Source organism: Homo sapiens, chromosome 9, assembly GCF_000001405.40.
Source record: "Homo sapiens chromosome 9, GRCh38.p14 Primary Assembly".
Classification (NCBI taxonomy): Eukaryota; Metazoa; Chordata; class Mammalia; order Primates; family Hominidae; genus Homo; species Homo sapiens.
Window position 1 is genome coordinate 69,757,642 of NC_000009.12, and position 23,547 is coordinate 69,781,188.

The following is a 23,547-nucleotide window of genomic DNA, read 5'->3' on the forward strand; positions in this document are numbered from 1 at the left end:
ATTACAACCGATCTTAAGTTTGGACAAGAAAAACAAAAAAATTTTTGTATAATACTGAAAGTGTAATTAGATACAGTAAAGTTAGATACAAACGTTACAGATAAACAATGCCTTAAAAAAAAAAAAAGAAACACAGCCTCTTTATTTTGGGAGTAAATGGGCTAAATTAAGGGAAGAAAGCGCAGGCAATTTTTAAAAGCCCAAATTATAAGGCACTTACAAAGATGCATAGTAATATTATTGAAAATAGTTTTACTGTGGGGAATATGTATTCAAATATAGCTGATGACTAGTCTTAAACAATGAGTTAAGCTATTTAAATGTTTAAGACCTATATTACAAATCATTACATTATTCCGAATATCCAACTTATCTCAAAGTTTTAAATCTCGAATGACCCAAATCCTTATTACTAATAAATTATACATTGAGGATATATTAATGAGGTTTTACAGTAGAAAAAGGATTAGGGAGGGGCATTAAAGTCCTTTAAGAGTTTCCATAAATGTGATCCACAAGAACTGGGACATGTTCCAAACTGCACTGTGTTAAAAACTGCCAAGCCAATGAACATTCAATCTTGGTTTCTTCAAATATAATGATGCTCTTTTAGTCTACCTCAAAGAAGAGAACATAAGATGATTACGACATTTTGTATTAGATTTCTAATCTCTGCTGTAATTTCTTCTAGAAAAATACCAGTGATGAGAAAATACACTCTTCATTTGTCCAACTTTTTTTTTTTTTGAGGTCGTCTCTTACTTGCACTAAGGCTCCCATTCTCAAAAAGAAATCGAAAGACTGATATACAGCAAGGCATCAAAGCATTCTTTAGAAGGCTCAGCAACCACTATGGATACTGCCAGGAAATCATTCCAAACACTCTCATTTTGAAAAAGGCAGCAGTCATAAGGGGGAGGGAAGTGGATGCTGTCAGAGGTGGCAGGTGTGTTTTGAGGCCAGCAGTGTTTTGTTTTTAATGTGGCACAGTTGCACGTCTCCAATTGTGTGCCACAAGGGAGCAAAACATCCAACGGCTTCTTAACTGTTTTACAATCATCACCTTGGAGGAAAAGAACACTTTGGTAAGATACACGTTTGGCAACTTTTTTAGGCAGAAAAGCTGAACCGGTTAGAATACTTAAAAAAAAAAATCATGAGCTCCAGTCTAAAGAATAAAATAAAAATAAATTAAATAATAATAAAAAATAATAAACTAAAAAAAAAAAAAATAAACTCCAAAAACAACTAGCTAAAATGAAAGTAATGCAGAACTGGATGCCATGTTTCTTTTCTTTGAGGAGGAAGAGGTATGGGAAAGGAGGTACATTGTTGCTTCTTCCCTACACCTTTGTATAATGTAGATCTCTCTCTCTCTCTCAATAGCTTTCTTTTCACTTGTTACATAAAAGCAAAGTGTTACAAAAAGTAGACTCTTGCGGTATCTTCCCACAGTACTTCAAGTAAAATGGAAGAGATACATATGTCAGTTCTGCAGTGTCCCGTTAAAGAGGGCAGCAGTGTTGGGATAAAAATGAGTTAACATGCTCCTTGTAACTATGAATCCGCTTATGCTAAAAAGTATCAAGGTTTCATTTGCTTTATCCCAGACTCCACACTGCGCCCACAGAAGCTTCTCTTGAGAATGTTCTGTTCACCTTTCAAAACACAATGTATTATCGGAGTCACTTTACAATTTTGTGGCAAGTAAGGCTAAAGTCAAAAGCAGCCTCAAACCACCTTTAGTTAGTAAACTGAGGGGTTTGAGGCTCATTAAAAGTAAGAGGATCGGTTACCCCCTCTTGCCAACGTCCGGGATGAATCTCAAGAGTTGTGTTTACAAGGCATACACGGACCCACATCGTTGTGTGCGCCCGAGTACCTTAAACACAGGAAGGATGTCGACCTACGGGGGACGTCTCTGGAGTTTCGTGAACTCCTATGAAAAGGTGGGGAGGGACAGAGAAAGTAGTTCCGTTTTGATTTTTTGAGGTCACTTCTAGGGACTCGACCGCGAGCGCGTCCCGGTAGCGGAAAGCCGGGCCAGCGGCGGCCGACAACGGTCCCGCCCGACACGGCTCTGCCTCCTCCCTAGAAGGGCTCGTGGGCCAGGACCCGCTGTCCGCCCGCCGCCCGAGGTCGGGTGGACGCTTGGCCCCGCCCCCGCCCGCTCCCGACGACCCTCGGAGGCGGCGGAGGCGCGCGACTCACATGTGTGGGTTCCTCCTGAAGGCGTTAGTGATGTCCTTCACAACCCGCTGCACCAGCACCGCCACCTCCTCGCTGGTCTCGGCCATGTTGGCGGCGGCCGCGACAGTTCGGGCGCGCCTCCGCGTGAGCCGGGCCGCCGGCGGGAGTTCCGCGGAGAACGAGCGCGCGCGCGCGCGCGCGGGTGCTTCGGCTAGGCCGCGTCCCCGCCGCCGCGGCCGCCGCCGAGCACTTCCGGGTCAGCCAGTTGGCGGCCTGGGCGTGGCGTTAGCTAGGGTTGGTGGCCTTCCAGTGAGTGGAGAAGTTCGCCTCCGCGCGGGTAACGGACTTTCTAAGCGTCAGAGAAGATGCTGGACATTTGTTTGCAAAGTTCTCTCAGGCCTCCGATTTTCTTATTTTAAGTTTTAGGCGAAACCTCAAGACACACTCCCAGAGAGTCAGACACCTTCCTGAACCCCCCCAGCAAGGTCCCCGGGCATTCCTGAAGGAATGTTCAACTGAGGATGCAGGGCCTCTTAACAGTTAGTCCCGGGCGTTTTTCAGAGCTTGTCTGCTTTATTTTCCCAGCCTGAGAGATGAAGAGGTCCAGAGGCATTGCGGCGGAGCGAGTCCCTATTTGACCGTGTTGGTGACCTCCTTTCTAACTGTGCCAATTTTTGTCTCTGAACTTGAAAGCAGCCTTTTTAAAAAACATTAATTAAAATTCTTAAATTTATTAAAGGAAGAGAAAGGAAAGTGAAGGAAAAGTTATTTGCCATCTGTATGTAGGAAGTAGAAGTGAAATCGTTTTTAGATTTTTCGACTTCATTTTGTACTGCATTTGGTAGCCTTTGCGTCAATTTTGGAATTTAAAAAAAAGGATCAAGGCTCTGACAGGGTTTGTTCATAATAGCAAAAATAAATTTTTGTAGGAAAAACGAGCTTTCTAGTTTATTTAGGATTTTGAAATGCCATAACTAAAATTTTTGTGTATCAGGTTTTCTTTTGCACCTCTGGTAGAAAAATCTGGCTGCCCTTGGTTCAGTTTTATTCTTCCACCCTTGAAATCTGGCCAGGTGCGGTGGCTCACGCCTGTAATCCCAGCACTTTGGGGGGCCAAGGCGGGCGGATCACAAGGTCAGGAGATCGAGACCATCCTGGCTAACACGGTGAAACCCCGTCTCTACTAAAAATACAAAAAAAAAAAAAAAAAAAAAAAAGCCGGGCGTGGTGGCGGGCGCCTGTAATCCCAGCTACTCCCCACTGCACTCCAGCCTGGGCGACAGAGCGAGACTCCGTCTTTAAAAAAAGGCCGGGCGCGGTGGCTCACGCCTGTAATCCCAGCACCTTGGGAGGCCGAGGCGGGTGGATCATGAGGTCAGGAGATCGAGACCATCCTGGCTAACAAGGTGAAACCCCGTCTCTACTAAAAATACAAAAAATTAGCTGGGCGCGGTGGCGGGCGCCTGTAGTCCCAGCTACTCGGGAGGCTGAGGCAGGAGAATGGCGTGAACCCGGGAAGCGGAGCTTGCAGTGAGCCGAGATTGCGCCACTGCAGTCCGCAGTCCGGCCTGGGCGACAGAGCGAGACTCTGTCTCAAAAAAAAAAAAAAAGAAATCTGTATCTTTAAAAAGCTATTAAAAAAATAAACTCATGGTGTGTTTAATGTGAACATATGCGGAGCGTTTGAAGTAGTTTTTATGATTGTAAAAGTAAAAGCTATCTATTGCATGTAAAGTGAATGAGAAATATAAACGAAAAATATAAATTTACTATACTCAGTGGCCAGTATTTCCTGTGGGTATGTTTATAAAGGCTGGAGTTAGCCTTCTGGTTGTAAAAGAAGTGAGATAGGACCGGGCACGGTGGCTTACACCTGTAATCCCAGCACTTTGGGAGGCAGAGGCGGAAGGATCACGAGGTCAGGAGTTCGAGACCATCGTGGCCAAGACAGTGAAACGCCGTCTCTACTAAAAATATAAAATTAGCTGGGCGTGGTGGCACGTGCTTGTAATCCCAGCTACTTGGGAGGCTGAGGCAGGAGAAGCGCTTGAACGCGGAAGTAGGAGGTTGCAGTGAGTGGAGATCGCGCCACTGCCCTCCAGCCTGGCGACAGAGCAAGACTCCATCTAAAAAAAAAAAAAAAGAAGTGAGATAGAAGTTTCACAAAATTGTAGCCAGCAAGGTGGGACAGGATTAAGAATTAGTAAAGTCGGCCGGGCACGGTGTCTCACGCCTGTAATCCCAGCACTTTGGGAGGCCGAGGCGGGTGGATACCTGAGATCAGGAGTTTGAGACCAGCCTGGCCAACAGGGTGAAACCCCGTCTCTACTTAAAATACAAAATTAGCTGGGCGTCGTGGTGCATGCCTGTAGCTCCAGCTACTTGGGAGGCTGAGGCAGGAGAATCGCTTGAACCCGGGAGACGCACGTTGCAGTAAGCCAAGACTGTGCCCTGCACTCCAGCCTGGGCAACAAAAGCGAAATGCCATCTCAAAAAAAAAAAAAAAAAAAAAAGAAAGAAAAAAAAAGAGTTAGTAAAATCAATCAAAATTTAACCGATAACAAGTTCTGGAGTGAAGCAGTGAAAAGAGTGGAATGTGTGTTTAGATTTCAAGGCAAAAGACAACTTTAAATATCCTGATTAAGAATGTAAGACCAGTTCTTAAATTAAAATTCTTAAACTTAGTAAGTTTTCTTAATCAGGACCTTGCATCCTAATGGCAGTGGGAAATAAATCCCAATTTCTGGAGGCAGAGATCAAAGCAGCACACTCAGAAATAATGATTTTCCCCGAAAGGCTTTATTTAACAGGGAAAAAAGAAAACTTTGTCCCCAAATTTTGATGTAAAACAGCTATTTCAGAAACAGAATTCCTCTGTATGATTCTGTGTATGCCCTCTCCACATGCAACCTCTTTATAGTCATTTGAAAGGCATGCATTGTATCTTGTTTCCTCTAAGAATTCACAAATTGTTTTACCCCAATTATTAAGAATCTACTATGTTTAGAACTTGTTTTTTTTTTTAGAATTGGAGCATAATTAGAACTCTGAGCCAACTCTCTAATTTTACAGATAAGAAAACAGAAGTCCAAAGGATTTAAGATTTGAAATTCATAAATCCTCAATAATGATATATATGTATACAAGAATAGGGCATAATAAATTCAGCGTGATTTTGTCGAAGGACTACAAGATTTATGTTCATTTATTGATAATAAAATACAGTAAATAACTTAAATGCCCAATGAGAGGGGATTGATTAAATTATAAATTTATATGGTAAGATGCTATTTAGTATTTGAAAATGTAGGGGTGGGTTGCCCCTACACACTTGTGGGTGTTTCTCGTAAGGTGGGACGAGAGATTTGGAAAAGAAAAAGACACAGAGACAAAGTATAGAGAAAGAAATAAGGGGACCCGGGGAACCAGCGTTCAGCATATGGAGGATCCCGCCAGCCTCTGAGTTCCCTTAGTATTTATTGATCATCTGTGGGTGTTTCTCAAAGAGGGGGATGTGTCAGGGTCACAAGACAATTGTGGGGAGAGGGTCAGCAGACAAACACGTGAACAAAGGTCTTTGCATCATAGACAATGTAAAGGATTAAGTGCTGTGCTTTTAGATATGCATACACATAAACATCTCAATGCTTTACAAAGCAGTATTGCTGCCCGCAGGTCCCACCTCCAGCCCTAAGGCAGTTTTTCCCTATCTCAGTAGATGCAGCATACAATCGGGTTTTATACCGAGACATTCCATTGCCCAGGGACAGGCAGGAGACAGATGCCTTCCTCTTGTCTCAACTGCAAGAGGCATTCCTTCCTCTTTTACTAATCCTCCTCAGCACAGACCCTTTACGGGTGTCGGGCTGGGGGACGGTCAGGTCTTTCCCTTCCCACGAGGCCATATTTCAGACTATCACATGGGGAGAAACCTTGGACAATACCTGGCTTTCCTAGGCAGAGGTCCCTGCGGACTTCCGCAGTTTTTGTGTCCCTGGGTACTTGAGATTAGGGAGTGGTGATGACTCTTAACGAGCATGCTGCCTTCAAGCATCTGTTTAACAAAGCACATCTTGCACCGCCCTTAATCCATTCAACTCTGAGTTGACACAGCACATGTTTCAGAGAGCACGGGGTTGGGGGTAAGGTTATAGATTAACAGGATCTCAAGGCAGAAGAATTTCTCCTAGTACATAACAAAATGGAGTCTCCTATGTCTACTTCTTTCTACACAGACACAGTAACAATCTGATCTCTCTTGCTTTTCCCCACATGAAAATCACATTATAACTAGAGGAATATATACCAAAGTGTTAGAGGTATTTTCATAGGACAATTTGACTATGTAATGTAAAGAGCAAAGTAACATTTGTAATTTAAGAATTTTTTTTTTTTTGAGACGGATTCTCACTCTGTCGTGCAGGCTGCAGTGCAGTGGTACAGGTTCAAGCGATTCTCCTGTGTCAGCCTCCTGAGTAGCTGGTATTACAGACACACGCCACCACACCTGGCTAATTTTTCTATTTTTAGTAGAGACTGGGTTTCACCATGTTGGCCAGGCTGGTCTCGAATTCCTGACCTCAACTCCTGACCACCCACCTCGGCCTCCCAAAGTGCTGGGATTACAGGCTTGAGCCACTGCACCTGGCCTAAGAAAAGTTTTTTAAATTATATATTAATAAGGAGCTGATATATTTGTTTGTTAATTAGCCAAATATATTATGTGCATACTAATTTTCTTACAGATATATTGATTTTTTTAAGTGACCATGTCTATTATTATCATTTACATGGTTGTGAATATATTTTGACAATCTTCCTACCCACTCCCAAAAACCACACGTTTCTTATTTTAGAAGACTAATTGATGATAGAGGAAAATGTGGATATGTAATGACCAAAACAAGTACCAAATACAAATACAATACAATATAATCCTAATTTCATATATACCATACAAATTGTATGTAATATAGATATAATTGTACATATATATAAAATAGATGGGGGGATACAAACTAAAATGTTAACAATGATTATCTCTGTATGATAGAATTGAGATAATTAAGACCAATAAATACATATTCTTTATACGTTTCTGGATGTCCCAAAGTTTTACAATGAAAAACCTAATGTATGTCTTGAGGACCCTGGAGGGAACGAGGACAGCGAGGTAGTTTTAGTGACTTTTGTGAAGAAATGAAGATGCCTTGTCATCCATTTCCATCTTTGCTTTGTATTATGCCGCTTACATTACTGACATGTTGTTTATTACTCCATTTATTTTTATTTGAATCTCATTTTCTGATAACATTTTACAATATAGAATTCAAATAGTACTAAATATGTTCTACCATGTGCTAGCTATTATTACGGAAAGAACAGTCTTATTTCCTCCATTACAAAAATTAAGTAGCCAAATGGGGAGGCACACTTCTGTAGTCCTAGCTACTCTGGAGGCTGAGAGGATTGCTTGAATCCAGGAGTGTGAAGATCAGCCAGAGCAACATAGTGAGACCTCATCTCAAAAAAATTAATGCCCAATTTTGAATGGCTTATTATATTGTCATTGTGGTTACCTATATCTTAAATTTTGCCAGACCTCAGCCCTATCCACTATCTTAAAATCTAAAATTTAAAAACTTACTAGCAAAGAAATAGTAGAAGGGTAACAAAATATTAACCAAGAAGCCACAATATTGATGTGTTTTATGAATTCTTAAGAAAAATCAACAGGAATGATGCCCATCTTTAAAATTTTTATTAGGCTGGGCGCGGTGGCTCACGCCTGTAGTCCCAGCGCTTTGGGAGTCCGAGGCGGGCAGATCACGAGGTGAGAAGATCAAGACCATCCTGGCCAACATTCTGCTAAAAATACAAAAAATTAGCCGGGCATGGTGGCAGACGCTTGTAGTCCCAGCTACTCGGGAGACTGAGGCAGGAGAATGGCGTGAACCGGTGAGGCGGAGCTTGCAGTGAGCCGAGATCTTACCGTGCCACTGCACTCCAGCCTGGGTGACAGAGTGAGACTCAGTCTCTCAAAAAAAAAAAAAAAAAAAAGTATTAAAGATTATTTCAAGAAAAGGAATAGAACTTAATAAATATACTTTAAAAGATATGTACATTAAACTTAAGATATTTGTATACTCTTTGCCTTGGTGTGTTGGTTTATTTCCCCAAGTATGACTTACTATATATTCAAGAACTGTTTAAAAATATACAAAACCACCCATGCATGGTAGTGCATCTATTGTTATTAGTTGATATTTCTAGCTCTTCATTATTCCAGTTGTTGGGATAAAAATGAGAAAATACATGTGATAGCATCTTTAAACTGAGAAGCACTGTTCAAGTTATTTATTTCTATGAATAAAAGTGTCATTACTAGTAAATCCATATTAAAACATAATAGTAAACTAAGGCTAAGCTAGATAATTTCAATATGAAACTTGTTTAACACTTTTAAAGAGAATTGGTATACTGCAATTATAATTAATCTAGTTAAAGCATGAACGTTTTCTGTGCTGACAAAGTGTGTAAATGTTATCAAGTTGATAATAATGAAGATGACTTTAAATGACCAGTTTATGCTGATATTAGAACCCATGAAAATACAGGAATAAGGATATTAGTTACATAAATGGTTTTCGTTGCTGAGTAAGTGATGTTTTATTTTATTTGATAGTTCCAAAATATCATCCTTTTCCTTTGCCCTGTTCATCCTTCCTACCACAGAGGCCCAGGAGACTCATTATGTAATCTTTAGAAAAGAACAGAAGAAAATGTCTAGAGAGAAAGCGCCATTCCAGGATCTGCATATAGAAACAGCTAAGGAGATGGGTATCTCTCAATCATGCAATTAGTTTCTCATGTACAGTACTGAAGATGTCAGATTGTCATAAGAATTTTCTTAGTAATAAAGCCTTTTAATGGATGACTAAATTTTTAAAGTATACAAATATAAGTACATCCTTAAGTTTTTTTCTGCTTATTTTTCAGTGTAACTGTGACAGAGGTGAAAGCCATAGACAGGTTCAAACATAACTGGAAATTTAGAAAGGGAGTAGGAACTTCATTTTGGCCACAGTAGAGGTTCAGTCTGAAACCTCTTCAGTAACTATCTAAAAGTAAGACAAGGCTATACCTCCTTTCATCTCCCTTCTAAAGTTAATTTTTCCATTCAGAAATTTCCTAATATACCTTATATCTCAGTTTCTTTCTGTTTCTATGTTTTAAGCTATGTCTGAGACACATCAAAATTATTAACACCAGGCCAACATTACCCATAGGAAATGATGAGCTTTTTTTGTTATTTGATTTATGCTCTTAATTTGCGGAATAATATTTATAGAGACTGATAGTGTGAATTTTAGGAAGGAATGTCAAATAATAAGTCTCCAAATGATGGCTTCTGACTTTAAGCACTTTAATTTCTATGGTAAGTCCTCTGAGTCATCAGTGTGCAAAAAGGACAGTACAAAAGATAATCTCTTTGGTTTGTAGGAGGAAGAGGCTAAATACTATCCCTGAGAGGACAAGACGCCAAACAATTTGATTTATTCCATAAATTTTAATGAGTGATACTGTGTATTAGACATTGTGCTAGCTGCTGGGTATTCAATGGTGAGAGAAACAGAAATGGTTCATGCCTTCTGTGGGACTTACAGTCTGATAGAAGAGATAAACAATATTCAAGTAAACAGACAAATATCTAATGAAAAATTGTAATAAATGGCACAAAAGGAGAAAGCAGGGTACCATGGTAGATGATAAAAGTGTCAGGGTAAGGACATAGCTTTGGATGCTGTAGTCAGAGAAGCCTGCTCTGGGTGGTGATGTTTAAGCTGAAACCTAAAAGATGAGAAGAAACCAGCCCTGTGAAAAGCAGGGAAAGAACCTCACTGGCGATGAAACATTAGGGTGAAGGCCTAAGAACAGAAGAGCTAACAGCATGTCTGAGGAATTGAAAGAAGGCCAAATTAATAACTTTTACCAACCTTACAGCGTTTGTAAAGTGATTTCAGATTCAGGATGGTGGTTACCCAAATGACAACAATGAAAGTGACTGCCTAGTTCCAATTTTTTTCCATTCTGTATACTCTGTGTTCTTTATTGTACTACACTGAACAGTTTTCTGGGCTGAATGTTAAATATGTTTGCAGAATAAAAACTTATGTATTATGAAGTATATAGTTAAGGTCCTGTCAGGAAAACAAGTCATACTCTGTATTCTAAGTAAGAAGGGTTTAATATAAGTCATTTGAGGCTTACATACCTGTTGGAAGGGTGAGGTAACAAGTCAGGGGAACCGTCATCAAATATCTCAGTCTTCAGCAATAAAACAGGGGACTATACCTTGTCCAGAAGCTACTTCAAGTCTCAAGAACCTCTAGGAAGCTCCTACCAGCCTTTTTATGGCACCTACTCAAGTGTTTCTCAAGAAACTCATCTGGAAGGGTGTCAGACCTCATGCTGGCTCTCTGTACATGCTTCTCCTTGCAACTGTCCCTGGAGAATAATGGTCTCTTCTTTCTGCTTTCCAAATCTTGTGTTCTTACTAGCAAACTCTGCTATGTTATGAAGGAGAATTTAGAAAGGGGTAATGATAATGCCTGGGTGACAATCCCAAGTTGCCAACAGACAATTCAGTACAGTTCACTCATTTTGCTTTGGTGAGTGAAAAAAATTGTGAGGTTCATTAGGGGTAATGGTAAGAGAAGCCACTGGCCCTTGGTCCCTGGATACATGTATTCTAGGTATGGAAAATATGACATAATGCACTGGATGGTGCTTCAGATTGCATATCGATCTTGTAAGACAGCACCACAACCCACATTGTGCTGCCCAATCTAGCACTGTATTTGAGACTTCAGTAGGTCATTCTGCTGCCTAATTAAGTAAACTGCTTTAGAATGGTGGGGTATGTTATGGTCAGTGAATCCCATGGGTATGAACCCTATTCCTGTGCTCCTTTTGTTTTAAAATGAGTTCATTGGTCAAAAATTAGGTATGCTAGTTATGTATTGTTGTGTAACAAATAAACCTCAAGCTTAGTGGCTTAAAACAATATTATTATTTCTGGCAGTTCTGTGGATTGACTGGGACCAACTGGGCAGTTGTTGGTTAGTGTCATGCAGTTACAGAAAGATAATGGCTGGGGCTGAAGTCATCAAAAGCCTTGACTGGCCTAGATGTCTGATTGTTTCTTTACTCACATGTCTGGTGCCGTGGTGCTTCTTGTTCTCTCTTTTCAACTGGCATCTCATGCTCCAGGGCTTTTCAGTGCATAGTGAGCTCAGGAAATTATACACAGCAGCTAACTTCCAAGAGGCAGGAAATGAGAGCTCAGGTTGGTTAAGGGTACAGCATCAATTTTGCAATATCAAAATGGTCAAAGCGGTCACAGTACTTCCCCAGAATCAAGGGGATGGAGGAAGTCCCATGGGATAGTGTGAAGGTCACATTGCAGAAGAGAATACGGGATAGAAGGTGGTGCTTTGCCTGTCTTGAAAAGAAAACCTATCATGTGTTAATTGGGGTACTGTATTAGGCTGTTCCTGCATTGCTGAAAAGGAATACCTGAGGCTGGGTAATTTATAAAGGAAAGAGGTTTAATTCACTCATGATTCCACAGGCTTTACAGGAAGCATGATGCTGGCATCTGCTTGGTGTCTGGGGAGGCCCCAGGGAGCTTACGATCATGGAGAAGGCAAAAATGGAGCAGGTGTCTTACGTGGTGAGAGTGGGAGTAAGAGAGAAAAGGGGGAGGTTCCACACACTTCTAAACAACCAGATCTCATGTGAACTCAGAGCTACAGTTCCCTAATGAAGGGGATAGCACCAAACCATTCATGAGGGATCTGTCTCCCATGATCCAAACAACTCCCACCAGGCTCCACCGCCAACACTGGAGACCACATTTCTTTTTTAAAAAAACTGTTTTTATTTTTATTTTTTCTGAATACATAGTAGTTATATGTATATATTAATGAGGTAGGAAATGACATTTCAACATGAGATTTAAAGGGCACACATATCCAAACCATATCAGGTATCATGACTGTAAACAAGGCATTCAGTATATCTATGGATAGTGATGAAGAAACTGGGGCAGGAAAACGTCAAATTGCTGTCCTGATGATGGAAGAATCCATTGTAAACAACCTGCCATCAGGTAGCTTGTCGGTTACTTTTGGTCCCTGTTGTTGAAAGCTTGGGCACCTAGCAATGACTCTAACAAGATCAGCTTTGCATGGGGGTTGGAGGGGGAATAAAACCTGCATTATTGCGCATAGGTATAATCTCTATGGCCACTATCATCATGAGCCCATAAAGCAAACATTGTCATGGCTAGGGAAAGAGGCTGAGTATCAGCCGTCGAATAGAACACTTTGTCCTGATTATTGAACATTTTCTGCAATGGATGGCCTTTTTTGAGCATTCATATGGAACACAAATAACACCAGAATCTATGCCTATTCAGAGAGGTCTCTCCTCATACCTCTTCCCCAAACTTCTTTATCATCAATTACCAAATTTTGCTAATTCCTGTATAATTAGTTCATACATTGTATTAGTCAGGGTTCTCTTAGAGGGAGAGAACTAATAGGATATATTATATCCTATAGGATATAATATATCCTATTAATATATATATATACTGAGAGAGACAGGAGTTTATTAAGTATTAACTTACATGATCGCAAGCTCCCATAATAGGCTGTCTGAAGCTGAGGAGAAAGGAAGCCAGTCTGAGTCCCAAAACTGAAGAATTTGGAGTCCGATGTTCAAGGGCAAGAAGCACCCAGCACAGGAGAAAGATGTAGACTAGGAGGCTAGGCCCATCTTGTCCTTTGAGTTTTTTTCCTGCCTGCTTTATATTCGCTGGCAGCTGATTAGGTTGTGCCCACCAGATTAAGGGTGGGTCTGCCTTTCCCAGCCCACAGACTCAAATATTAATCTCCTTTGGCAACATCCTCACAGACACACCCAGGGGATCAATACTTTGTATCCTTCAATCCAATCAAGTTGACATTCAGTATCAACTGTCACATAAATATACCAGAGTCCCTGACTATCTAAGCAAACTGTTAGCCACTGTCCATGAATCAATGTTGACCTACTCCTCTGCCATGTCTCTTTTTAGTCTAAGTGGACTGCTAGATATACAGTCTGAAGTTCTGCCTACTTGGAGAATCTCCCTTCTCAGTTTTTAAAGACTATTTCTGAGTGAGGCTGTCATGCTAAAGCCATCCACTTTTGGGTAGTACCAACATATTGTGGAGAGCTGTTTGGAAACAAAACGAGGCCCAAATTTTCTCTTCCTCAGTCACATGTCATAGAGAATTCTCCATGAGGCCATATATGTAGATCGAGGGAGAGATATCAATGCAATAGGAGTAAGTACAGTCATTCCTCAGTATCTGTGGAGGATTGTTTCCAGGATCCCTGTGGATACCAAAATCTGTACATGCTCATGTCGCTTATATAAAATGGCACAATTTTTGTATATATCCTATGCACATCTTCCTATATAGTTTGCTTTCATTTTGTTTTTTGGTTTTTTTGAGATGGAGTTTCGCTCTTGTTACCCAGGCTGGAGTGCAATGGTGCAATATCGGCTCACTACAACCTCCACCTCCCGGATCCAAGCGATTCTCCTGCCTCAGCCTCCCAAGTAGCTGGGATTACAGGCACGTGCCACTACTTCCAGCTAATTTTTTGTATTTTTAGTAGAGACGGGGTTTCACCATGTTGGCCAAGCTGGTCTCAAACTCCTGACCTCAGATGATCCACCTTCCTTGGCTTCCCAAGTGCTGGGATTATAGGTGTGAGCCACCGCACCCAGCCTATACTTTAAATCATCTCTAGATTACTTCAAATACCTAATAAGATGTAAATGCTATGTAAATGGTTGTGATACTATATTGATTCTTTTAATCTGTATTATGTTTTTATTTTTTCTGAATATTTTTGATGATCATTGAGTTGAATCCAGGAATGCAGAACCCACTGATACTGAAGGTGTCTGGGTCACTTACTCTTGCAACTTGTGTCTTTGGGAACTGTTTGAGCCTGATCTTGTATATCTCATTTACAGCATTGTGGTCCTGAGTCAGGTAACACCGTAGCTCTCTATGGAAAGCTCATGTCACATGACTAGTTAGTGTTTCTTAGTCAGATATTCAGTCCTGGGGGCCCAATAGCAACCCCAGAACGGTTTCTCAAAAGTGTAATGCTTATCAACGAAAAGGGTTGGCTTTTCCCCCAAAACCCAAGGGGTATTGCCATGGCATTTTTTATTTGCTACTGTTAGAACATTTCAATGTGCTCTTTCAGCACCATTCAATCTGCTGAGTCATGTGGCCCAAGATCAGCTTGCGTAGAAGCTTAGAGCTGCCACAGAAGCTTCTGTTGCTCTGGAATCCATTCAAATCTATGGGTTACTCAGTAAGTGACTCAAAGTAGAACATTCAACTAGGGTATATGTCACAATTTGAATCCAAAGTGGCCCTTGTGTCTCCTTCTCAGTGGTAGAGTGTGCAAGATGAAGCAACTTGCCCTTCACCTTGGTAGAAATGTGCCATGCCTCAACTAATGGACTCCTAGAAACTTCACTAAGGTGGCAGGCCCTTGAATGTTTTAAGGGTTTATCTTCCATCCTCTGTCATGCATGTGTCTAGCAAGATATCTAGGGTACTTCCGGCTAATTCCTGCACACAAAGTTGAATCCCTCAAAGTAATAAAGGAGTAAAAGCCCTCATTATATTCTCATAGACTCCTTTATATATCAAATGCATTTAAACAGTTGTCTAATTAGTTCCATATCTTTATCCATCTACAGAGTGTAAATTTCACAAGGGCTGGAACTGTATTTCTCCTGTTTATTTTATGTACCACTGTGTATGTTGCATTGCAATATAGTGGGCTCTGAGTACTTAAATGGATGGATGGATGAAAGGAAAGGATGGGAAACAATAGGGAAGGGTAGAATAACCTACATGTATAAATGTAATAAAGAAATAGTAGAGGAAGTCACTTGGAATTTAGTCAGAGGCCTAATCATGAGGAACCTTGAGGCCATATTTTGGCAGTGCCAAGGTGGGCGGATCACTAGGTCAGGAGTTCAAGACCAGCCTGGCCAACATTGTGAAACCACATCTCTACTAAAAATACAAAAATTAGCTGGCTGTGGTGGCATGTGTTTGTAATCCCAGCTACTTGGGAGGCTCAGGCAGGAGAATCGCTTGAACCCGGGAGGCAGAGGTTGCAGTGAGCCAAGATTGCACCACTGCACTCCAGCCTGGGCGACAGAGCAAGACTCTGTCTCAAAAAAATAAAAAATAAAAAATAAAAAATTCTGAAGAGTTAGAGCCATTGAAAGCATTTTTGCTTCTTTGTTGAAATCCGCTCATTCTTCAAGAGTGTTCTTATTAACTTATACATTGTTTTAGTTATACAAAAATATATAAATGCACACACACACACACACACACATATATATGCTTCTACACTCCTGGGTTTTATCACATAACAAAATGAGATAATCCATTTCATCTTTATTGTTGTTTCCCTGGTACCTGGTACAGTTCCTGAATATAGTAAGCACTGCAAATGTAGTGCTGAGTCAGCTGAACAAACAAAGACCCAATTCCATTGCCACCTTTCCCATGAAGTCTTCATTAATCACCTCAGTTCGAAATGCTCTCCTAGAAATAGGAATGCTTTTACACTATTGGTGGGAGTGTAAATTAGTTCAACCATTATGGAAGACAGTGTGGTGATTCCTCAAGGATCTAGAACCAGAAATAGACCCAACAATCCCATTACTGGGTATGTACCCAAAGGTTTATCAATCATTCTACTATAAAGATACATGCACACATATGTTTATTTCAGCACTATTCACAATAGCAAAGACTTGGAACCAACCCTAATGCCCATCAACAATAGACTGGATAAAGAAAATGTAGCACATATACACCATGGATAAAGAAAATATGGCACATACACACCATGGAATACTATGCAGCCATAAAAAAAAATGTGTTCATGTCCTTTGCAGGGACATGGATGAAGCTGGAAACCATTATTCTAAGCAAACTAACACAGGAACAAAAAACCAAACACCATTGATTCTCATTCATAATTGAGAGTTGAACAATGAGAACATATGGGCACAGGGAGGTGAACATCACACACCAGGGCCTGTCGTGGTGTGGAGGGTAAGGAGAGGGATAGCATAAGGAGAAATACCTAATGCAGATGATAGGTTCATCGGTGCAGCAATCCACCATGGCACATGTATACCTATGTAACAAACCTGCACGTTCTGCACATATATTCCAGAACTTAAAAAGTATAACAATGAAAAAAAAAAAAGAAAAAAGAAATGCTTTCCTATAATCTTGGACTCCACTGTACTTTTATAGCCTTTGTTTGGCACTTTTCATATATGACCTTGTTTTACAGTTATTTTTGTAAATCTCTAATATCTTTTTCTAAGTTGAAGTCATTGTCAGATTCATTTTTGTAACCCAACAACATGGTACAGTTCCTTATATGAGGCAGATATTAAGTATATATGTATTGAATGAAAAAAAGAGACAATGTATTTACTTTTTTATGGTTCATGTTATGAGTAGCAAAGAATTAATGTAATGAGAATCATAATTCTTAAAATTTGTCATCAATTTTCACAATTACCGTAGATATATTTTATTCTCTAATTCGATGTTATTTTTTCACCAATTGTGTGAGCGTGGAGAATATAGGAAAACCTTCATTTTGTAAAAAGTTATAAATAATTATGTAAGTCTTTTTAAAATTATTTTTTAAATTGAGATAGTCCCAAAACATAAAATTCACCCTTTGAAGCATGTAATTTAGTGGTTTTTAGTGTATTAACAAGATTATACAACCATTACCACTAATTCCAGAATATTTTGTTTTCTTTTTTTCTTTTTCTTTTTTTTTCCTGAGACAGATTCACCGTCTGTCACCCAGGCTAGGGTGCAGCAGGGCGATTTTGGCTCACTGCAACCTCTGCCTCCCGAGTTTGAGCAATTCTTCTTGCCTCAGCCTCCCGAGTAGCTGGGACTACAGGCGCCTGCCAACACGCCTGGCTAATTTTTGTATTTTTAGTAGAGACGGGGTTTCACCATGTTGGCCAGGCTGTTCTCGAACTCCTGACCTCAGGTGATTCACCCGCCTCAGCCTCCCAAAGTTCTGGAATTACAGGCTTAAGCCACTGCACCCAGCCAGAATATTTTCATTATTCTTCTCCTCCACTCTCCCCTTCCCCTGGACGTAGCTTTGATGAAGGTTCTTGCTTTGTCTCTTCAGACTGCTTTTTCTTGCCCTTTAGCTTGCCTTGTAATCTTTTGCTAAAAACTTCGTATAATGTATGGGATAATAGAAAAGTTATAATGGTAATGTGGCCAGAAGCTGGGCTGTGTTTAATGTTTGCTGAAACCGTAAGCGCCAGTGGATTCAGTTTCCTCAGGTGTACTTGTATCTTTCTTCCTTGTTATCTTTAGGTTTTCCTAAGAACTTCTTAGATAGAATCTGTGGCCTGTCACTTTTTTAGTTGAAATCTACTGGTATAAACTGGAGCCTTGCAGGTGTGGTGGTAAGGTCCTATGGGAAAGGAATCTATAATTTTGTGATTAACTCTTAAGTCATTTAGTGGGCCTGAGTCCTTGGGCTTTGACCTTCAGTAGTGCTTCTTAGCCTTTTACATTTCTTCTCTTAGGTGAGATAGGGAAGCTAAGGGGCTGGGATCGGGTAATTGCCCTTTCTTTGGTCAAAAGACCTGGTAACATCATTTCATTTGGAGCATTGGTTCTTACTATGAAGATTGCTTTGGGTATATTTCAACATGCCCCTCCCCTTGACTAAAATGTGAAGGTGTTGTTCTGGGGTCATCTCCATGAAAGCCTGGTGTGGTTGCTGGAAGTAAAATACATAAAAGTGTGGGAGACCCCTAAGACTGGGCCCCTAAGGATTTTCTTAGTTTAGAGCAAGTCCACATTCAGGCTCTAGCAGTTGGTCAAGATTACCACTTAAATGTTCATACCAGTTTATGGATTCAATGTCTTCTGCTCCAGGTAAGCTGTTATCAGCTGTGATTCTCTGTATTTTCTTCTCTCTAGATTTCTGCGTGGCAGTTTGTTCTGTGACCTTAATTTTTTAACAGGTCTAAGAAAAGTAATTGATTTTCAGTTTCACCTTTTGTCTTATTGTAAGGATGAGAGTGAAGACTTTGAAGCTTTTACATGTTGGAGCAGAAAGCAGAATTCTTCCAAACCTTTTATTAAAGGGCTAGATAGGACATATTTTAGACTTTGTGAGTCATATACTCTGTTCCAATTACTAACACCTACTGTTATAGCATGAATGCAGCCCTAGCAATGCAGAATGAATAAGAGGCTCTCTATTTTGCTGCTGTTTTCATTTATTTCTGTTCGATCTTTACTATTCCCTTCCTTTTATTTACTGTGGGTTTAGTTTTCACTACTTTTTCTAGTTTCTTCTTTTTGGCTACTTTTCATTTGAAAAAATTTTTATTTCAATAGTTTTGGGTGGACAGGTGGTTGCATGGAAAGGTTCTTTAGTGGTGATTTCTGAGATTTTGGTGCACCCATCACCTGAGCAGTGGACACTGCACCCAATATGTTGTCTTTTATCCCTCACCCCCCTTCAATCCTTTCCCCCAAGTCCCCAATGTCCATTGTATCATTCTTATGCCTTTGCATCCTCATAGCTTAGCTCCCACTTATAAGTGAGAACACACAATGTTTAATTTTCCATTCCTGAGTTACTTCACTTAGAATAATGGCCTCCAACTCCATCCAGGTTGCTGCGAATGCCATTATGTCATTCCTTTTTATGGTTGAGTAGTATTCCATGGTGTGTGTGTGTGTGTATATATATATGTATATACATACATATACACACATATATACATATATACACATATATACATATACACACATATATATACATATATACACATATATATACATATATATACATACACATATATATGTGATATTTTCTTTATTTACTCATTGGTTGATGGGCATTTAGGCTGGTTCCATATTTTTACAATTGTGAATTGTGCTGCTGTAAACATGCATGTGCAAGCGTCTTTTTCATATAATGACTTATTTTCCTCTGGGTAGATACCCAGTAGTAGGATTGCTGGATCAAATGGTAGTTCTACTTTTGGTTATTTAAGGAATCTCCATACTGTTTTCCATAGTGGTTGTACTAATTTATATTCCCACCAGCAGTGTGGAAGTGTTCACTTTTTACAACATTCATGCAATATCTGTTTTTTTTTTTTTAATTTTTAAATTATGGCGATTCTTGCAGGAGTAAGGTGGCATCTCACTGTGTTTTTGGTTTACATTTCCCTGATAATTAGTGTGTTTAGCATTTTTTCTTGTTTGTTGGCCATTTGTCTAACTTCTTTTGAGAGTTGTCTATTCATGTCATTTGCCTACTTTTTTGATGGGATTTTTTTTTCTTGCTGTTTTGTTTGTGTTCCTTGTAGATTCTAGAATTAGTCTTTTGTTGAATGAATAGTTTGCAAATATTTTCTCCCATTCTGTGGATTTATGTTTACTGTGATGATGATGATGATGATGATTATTATTATTATTATTATTTTGCTGTGCAGAAGCTTTTTGGGTTAGTTAGGTCCCATTTATTTATCTTTGTTTTTGTTGCATTTGCTTTTGGATTCTTGGTCATGAACTCTTTCCCTAAGCCAATGTCTAGAATAATTTTTCTGATATCATCTTCCAGAATTTTTGTGGTTTCAGGTCTTAGATTTAACTTTTTGATACATCTTGAGTTGATTTTTGTATAAGGTAAGAGATGAGGATCCAGCTTCATTCTCTGCATCTGGCTTGCCAATTATTCCAGCACTATTTGTTGAATAGGGTATCCTTTTCCCACTTTATGTTTTTCTTTGCTGTTGGCTGTAAGTATTTGGCTTTATTCCTGAGTTCTCTATTCTGTTCCATTGGTCTACATGCCTATTTTTATACCAGTACCATGCTGCTTTGGTAACCATAGGCTTGTAGTATAGTTTGAAGTTGGGTAATGTGATGCCTCCAGATTTGTTCCTTTTGCTTAGTCTTGCTTTTGGCTGTGCAGATTCTTTTTTGGTTTCATGTGAATTTTAGGATTGCTTTTTCTAGTTCTGTGAAGAATGGTGGTATTTTGATGGAATTACATTGAATCTGTAGATTGCTTTTGGCAGTTGGTCATTTTCACAATATTGATTCTCACAATATTGATCCCATCCATGAGCATGGAATGTGTTTACAATAGTTTGTGTCATCTATGATTTCTTTCAGCAGTATTTTGCAATTTTTCTTGTAGAGATCTTGCACCTCCTTGGTTTGGTATATTCCTACGTGTTTTTTTTTTCCAACTATTGTAAAAGGTGTTGAGTTCTTGATTTGATTCTAAGCTTGGTCATTGTTGGCATATAGCTACTGATTTATGTATATCAACTTTGTATCCCGAACCTTTACTGAATTAATTTATTAGATCTAGAAGCTTTTTGGACGAGTCTTTAGGGTTTTCTAGGCATACAATCATATCATCAGTGAACAGCAACAGTGTGACTTCCCCTTTACCAATTTGAATGCCCTTTATTTCTTTCTCTTGTCTGATTGCTCTGGCTAGGACTTCCAGTACTATGTTGAATAGAAGTGGTGAAAGTGGGCATCCTTGTCATGTTCCATTTCTCGAGGGGAATGCTTTCAAATTTTCCCTGTTCAGTATAATGTTGGCTGTGGGTTTTTCACAGATGGTTTTTATGTGTCCCTTCTATGCCAACTTTGCTGAGGGTTTTAATCATAAAGGGATGCTAGATTATATCAAATGCTTTTTCTGAATTTATTGAGATGATCATATGATTTTTGTTTTTAATTCTGTTTATGTGATATATTACATGTGTTGACTTTCGTGTGTTAAACCATCCCTGTATCCCTGGTATGAAACCCACTTGAAAATGGTGTATTATTTTTTTGACATGCTTTTGGATTTGGTTAGCTAGTATTTTGTTGAGGATTTTTGCATCTAGGTTCATCAGGGATATTAGTCTGTAGTTTTCTTTTTCTTTTCTTTTTTTCTTTTTTTTTTTTTTTTTTGAGATGGAGTTTCGCTCTTGTTGCCCAGGCTGGAGTGCAATGGCGCAATCTTGGCTCACGGCAACCTCCACTTCCCGGGTTCAAGCCATTCTCTGCCTTAGCCTCCGGAGTAGCTGGGATTACAGGCATGCGCCACCATGCCTGGCTAATTTTGTATGTTTAGTAGAGATGGGGTTTCTCCATGTTGTTCACGCTCATCTCTGTAATTTTCTTTTTTTATATCCTTTCCTAGTTTTGGTATTAGGCTGATGCTGACTTCATAGAATGATTTAGGGAAGATTCCTTCTTTCTCTGTCTTTTGAAATAGTTTCTTTAAGATTGGTACTAATTCTTCTTTGACTGACAGAATTAGGCTGTGAAACCATCTGGTCCTGGACTTTTTTTGTTGGCAATTTTTAAATAACTGTTCTAATGTCACTATTTATTATTTGTCTGTTCAGAGTTTCTATTTCTTCCTGATTTAATCTAGGAGGGTTTTATATTTTCAAGAATTTATTAATGTCCTCTAGATTTTCTAGTTTGTGCACATAAAGGTGTTCATAGTAGACTTGAATGATCTTTTGTATTTCTGTGGTATCGGTTGTAATATTTCCTGTCTTGTTTCTAATTGAGCTTATTTGGTCTCATTTTCTTGGTTAATCTTGCAAATGGTCTCTCAATTTTGTTTATCTTTTCAAAGAACCAGCTTTTGTTTCATTTATCTTTTGTATATTTTTGTTTCAATTTTCTTTAGTTCTGCTTTGATCTTTGTTATTTCTTTTCTTCTGCTGGGTTTCAGTTTGGTTCATTCTTGTTTCTCTAGTTCCTGGAAGTGTGACATTAGGTTGTCTATTTATGCTCTTTCAGACTTTTTGATGTAGGCATTTAATGCTATGAACTTTTCCCTTAGCACAGCTTTTGCCGTGTCCCAGAAGTCTTGATTTTATTGTTGATCCAAATATCATTCAGGAGCAGATTATTTAATTTCCATGTATTTGTATAGTTTTGAGGGTTCCTCTTGGAGTTTGGAACTCCAAAGGATATTCCATGCAAATGGAAACCCAAACCAAGCAGGAGTAGCTATTTCTATGTTAGACAAAGCAGACTTTAAAGCAACAACACTTAAAAAACACAACGAGGGACATTATACAATGATAAAACAATCAGTCTAACAGAAAATATCACAATCCTAAATATATATGCAACAAATACTTCTGTGTCCAGATGTGTTATTCAATTTGCATAGAATATTATTCCACTGTGGTTTGACAGTGTACTTGATATAATTTCAATTTTCTTAAATTTATTGAGACTTGTTTTGTGGCCTATCATATGGTCTATCTTGGAAAATGTTCCATGCGCTGGTGAAAAGAATGTATATTCTGCAGTTGTTGGGTAGAATGTTCTGCAAATATCTGTTAAGTCCATTTGTTCTGGGGTATAGTTTAAGTACATTGTTTCTTTGTTTACTTTCTGTCTTGATTACCTGTCTAGTGCTGTCAATGGAATATTGAAGTCCCCTACTATTATTGTGTTGCCATCTTTCTCATTTCTTATGTCTAGCAATAATTGTCTTATAAATGTAGGAGCTCCTGTGTTAGATGTATATATATTCAGGATTGTGATATTTTCCATTGGACTGATCCTTTTTATCATTATATAATATCTCTCTTTGGGTTTTTTAACTGTTGTTGCTTTAAAGTATGTTTTGTCTGATGTAAGAATAGCTACTCCTGCTTGCTTTGGGTTTCCATTTGCATGGACTATCTTTTATCACCCCTTTACCTTAAGTTTATGTGAGTCCTTATGTGTTAGGTGAGTCTCTTGAAGACCGCAGATACTTGGTTGGTGAATTTTTATACATTCTGCCATACTGTATCTTTTAAGTGGAGCATTTAGGCCATTTACATTCAATGTTGCTATTGAGATGTGAGGTACTGTTATATTCACTGTGCTAGTTGTTGCCTAAATACCTTGTTTGTGTGTAGGTGTGTGTTATTGTTTTATAGGCCCTGTGAGATTTATGCTTTAAGGAGCTTCTATTTTGATGTATTTCGAGACTTTGTTTCAAGATTTAGAACTCCTTTTAGCATTTCTTGTAGTGCTGGCTTGGTAGTAGTGAATTCTCTCTAAACATTTGTTTGTCTGAAAAATAATTTATCTCTCCTTCATTTATGAAGTGTAGTTCTTAGCTGGCAATTATTTT

At 39.2% G+C, this 23,547-nt stretch overlaps 1 protein-coding gene and 1 long non-coding RNA gene across 17 annotated transcripts in view, besides 6 other annotated features; one reads left to right on the plus strand and one right to left on the minus strand.

Moving 5' to 3' along the window:
* The window catches only part of PTAR1 (protein prenyltransferase alpha subunit repeat containing 1), a 50,487-nt gene extending 48,117 nt beyond the window's left edge, over nt 1-2,370 (minus strand). For all 14 annotated transcript variants that reach the window (NR_159515.1, NR_159516.1, NR_159517.1 and 11 more), the window contains exon 1: nt 2,212-2,370. Coding sequence is in view for 11 of the 14 variants with exons in the window: in NM_001366938.1 (NP_001353867.1) it covers nt 2,212-2,297 (86 nt within the window). In the remaining 3 variants the exon portion in view is untranslated. The remainder of the gene's footprint in view (nt 1-2,211) is intronic.
* Nucleotides 1,868-1,917: an enhancer, noted in NCBI's record as "active region_28448". NCBI's record gives its function as "activates an Ori minimal core promoter by ATAC-STARR-seq in GM12878 lymphoblastoid cells {active_cell/tissue: GM12878}" and the evidence as "EXISTENCE:reporter gene assay evidence [ECO:0000049][PMID:35858748]".
* Nucleotides 2,058-2,527: a silencer, noted in NCBI's record as "silent region_19936". NCBI's record gives its function as "represses an Ori minimal core promoter by ATAC-STARR-seq in GM12878 lymphoblastoid cells {active_cell/tissue: GM12878}" and the evidence as "EXISTENCE:reporter gene assay evidence [ECO:0000049][PMID:35858748]".
* The window catches only part of LOC105376076 (uncharacterized), a 38,952-nt gene continuing 17,858 nt past the window's right edge, over nt 2,454-23,547 (plus strand). For 2 of the 3 annotated variants that reach the window (XR_929910.3, XR_929908.2), the window contains exon 1: nt 2,454-2,832. This is a non-coding gene — a long non-coding RNA (uncharacterized LOC105376076). The remainder of the gene's footprint in view (nt 2,833-23,547) is intronic. The other variant, XR_929909.3, reaches the window with a different exon arrangement.
* Nucleotides 3,392-4,247: an enhancer, noted in NCBI's record as "H3K27ac-H3K4me1 hESC enhancer chr9:72375949-72376804 (GRCh37/hg19 assembly coordinates)". NCBI's record gives its function as "activates a minimal SCP1, AML or CMV promoter by ChIP-STARR-seq in primed H9 embryonic stem cells {active_cell/tissue: H9 hESC(primed)}" and the evidence as "EXISTENCE:reporter gene assay evidence [ECO:0000049][PMID:30033119]".
* Nucleotides 4,432-4,726: a silencer, noted in NCBI's record as "tiled region #8756; HepG2 Repressive non-DNase unmatched - State 23:Low, and K562 Repressive non-DNase unmatched - State 23:Low". NCBI's record gives its function as "represses a minimal TATA promoter and a strong SV40 promoter by Sharpr-MPRA in HepG2 and K562 cells {active_cell/tissue: HepG2 | K562}" and the evidence as "EXISTENCE:reporter gene assay evidence [ECO:0000049][PMID:27701403]".
* Nucleotides 5,102-5,957: an enhancer, noted in NCBI's record as "OCT4-NANOG-H3K27ac hESC enhancer chr9:72377659-72378514 (GRCh37/hg19 assembly coordinates)". NCBI's record gives its function as "activates a minimal SCP1, AML or CMV promoter by ChIP-STARR-seq in naive and primed H9 embryonic stem cells {active_cell/tissue: H9 hESC(naive and primed)}" and the evidence as "EXISTENCE:reporter gene assay evidence [ECO:0000049][PMID:30033119]".
* Nucleotides 5,958-6,812: an enhancer, noted in NCBI's record as "OCT4-NANOG-H3K27ac hESC enhancer chr9:72378515-72379369 (GRCh37/hg19 assembly coordinates)". NCBI's record gives its function as "activates a minimal SCP1, AML or CMV promoter by ChIP-STARR-seq in primed H9 embryonic stem cells {active_cell/tissue: H9 hESC(primed)}" and the evidence as "EXISTENCE:reporter gene assay evidence [ECO:0000049][PMID:30033119]".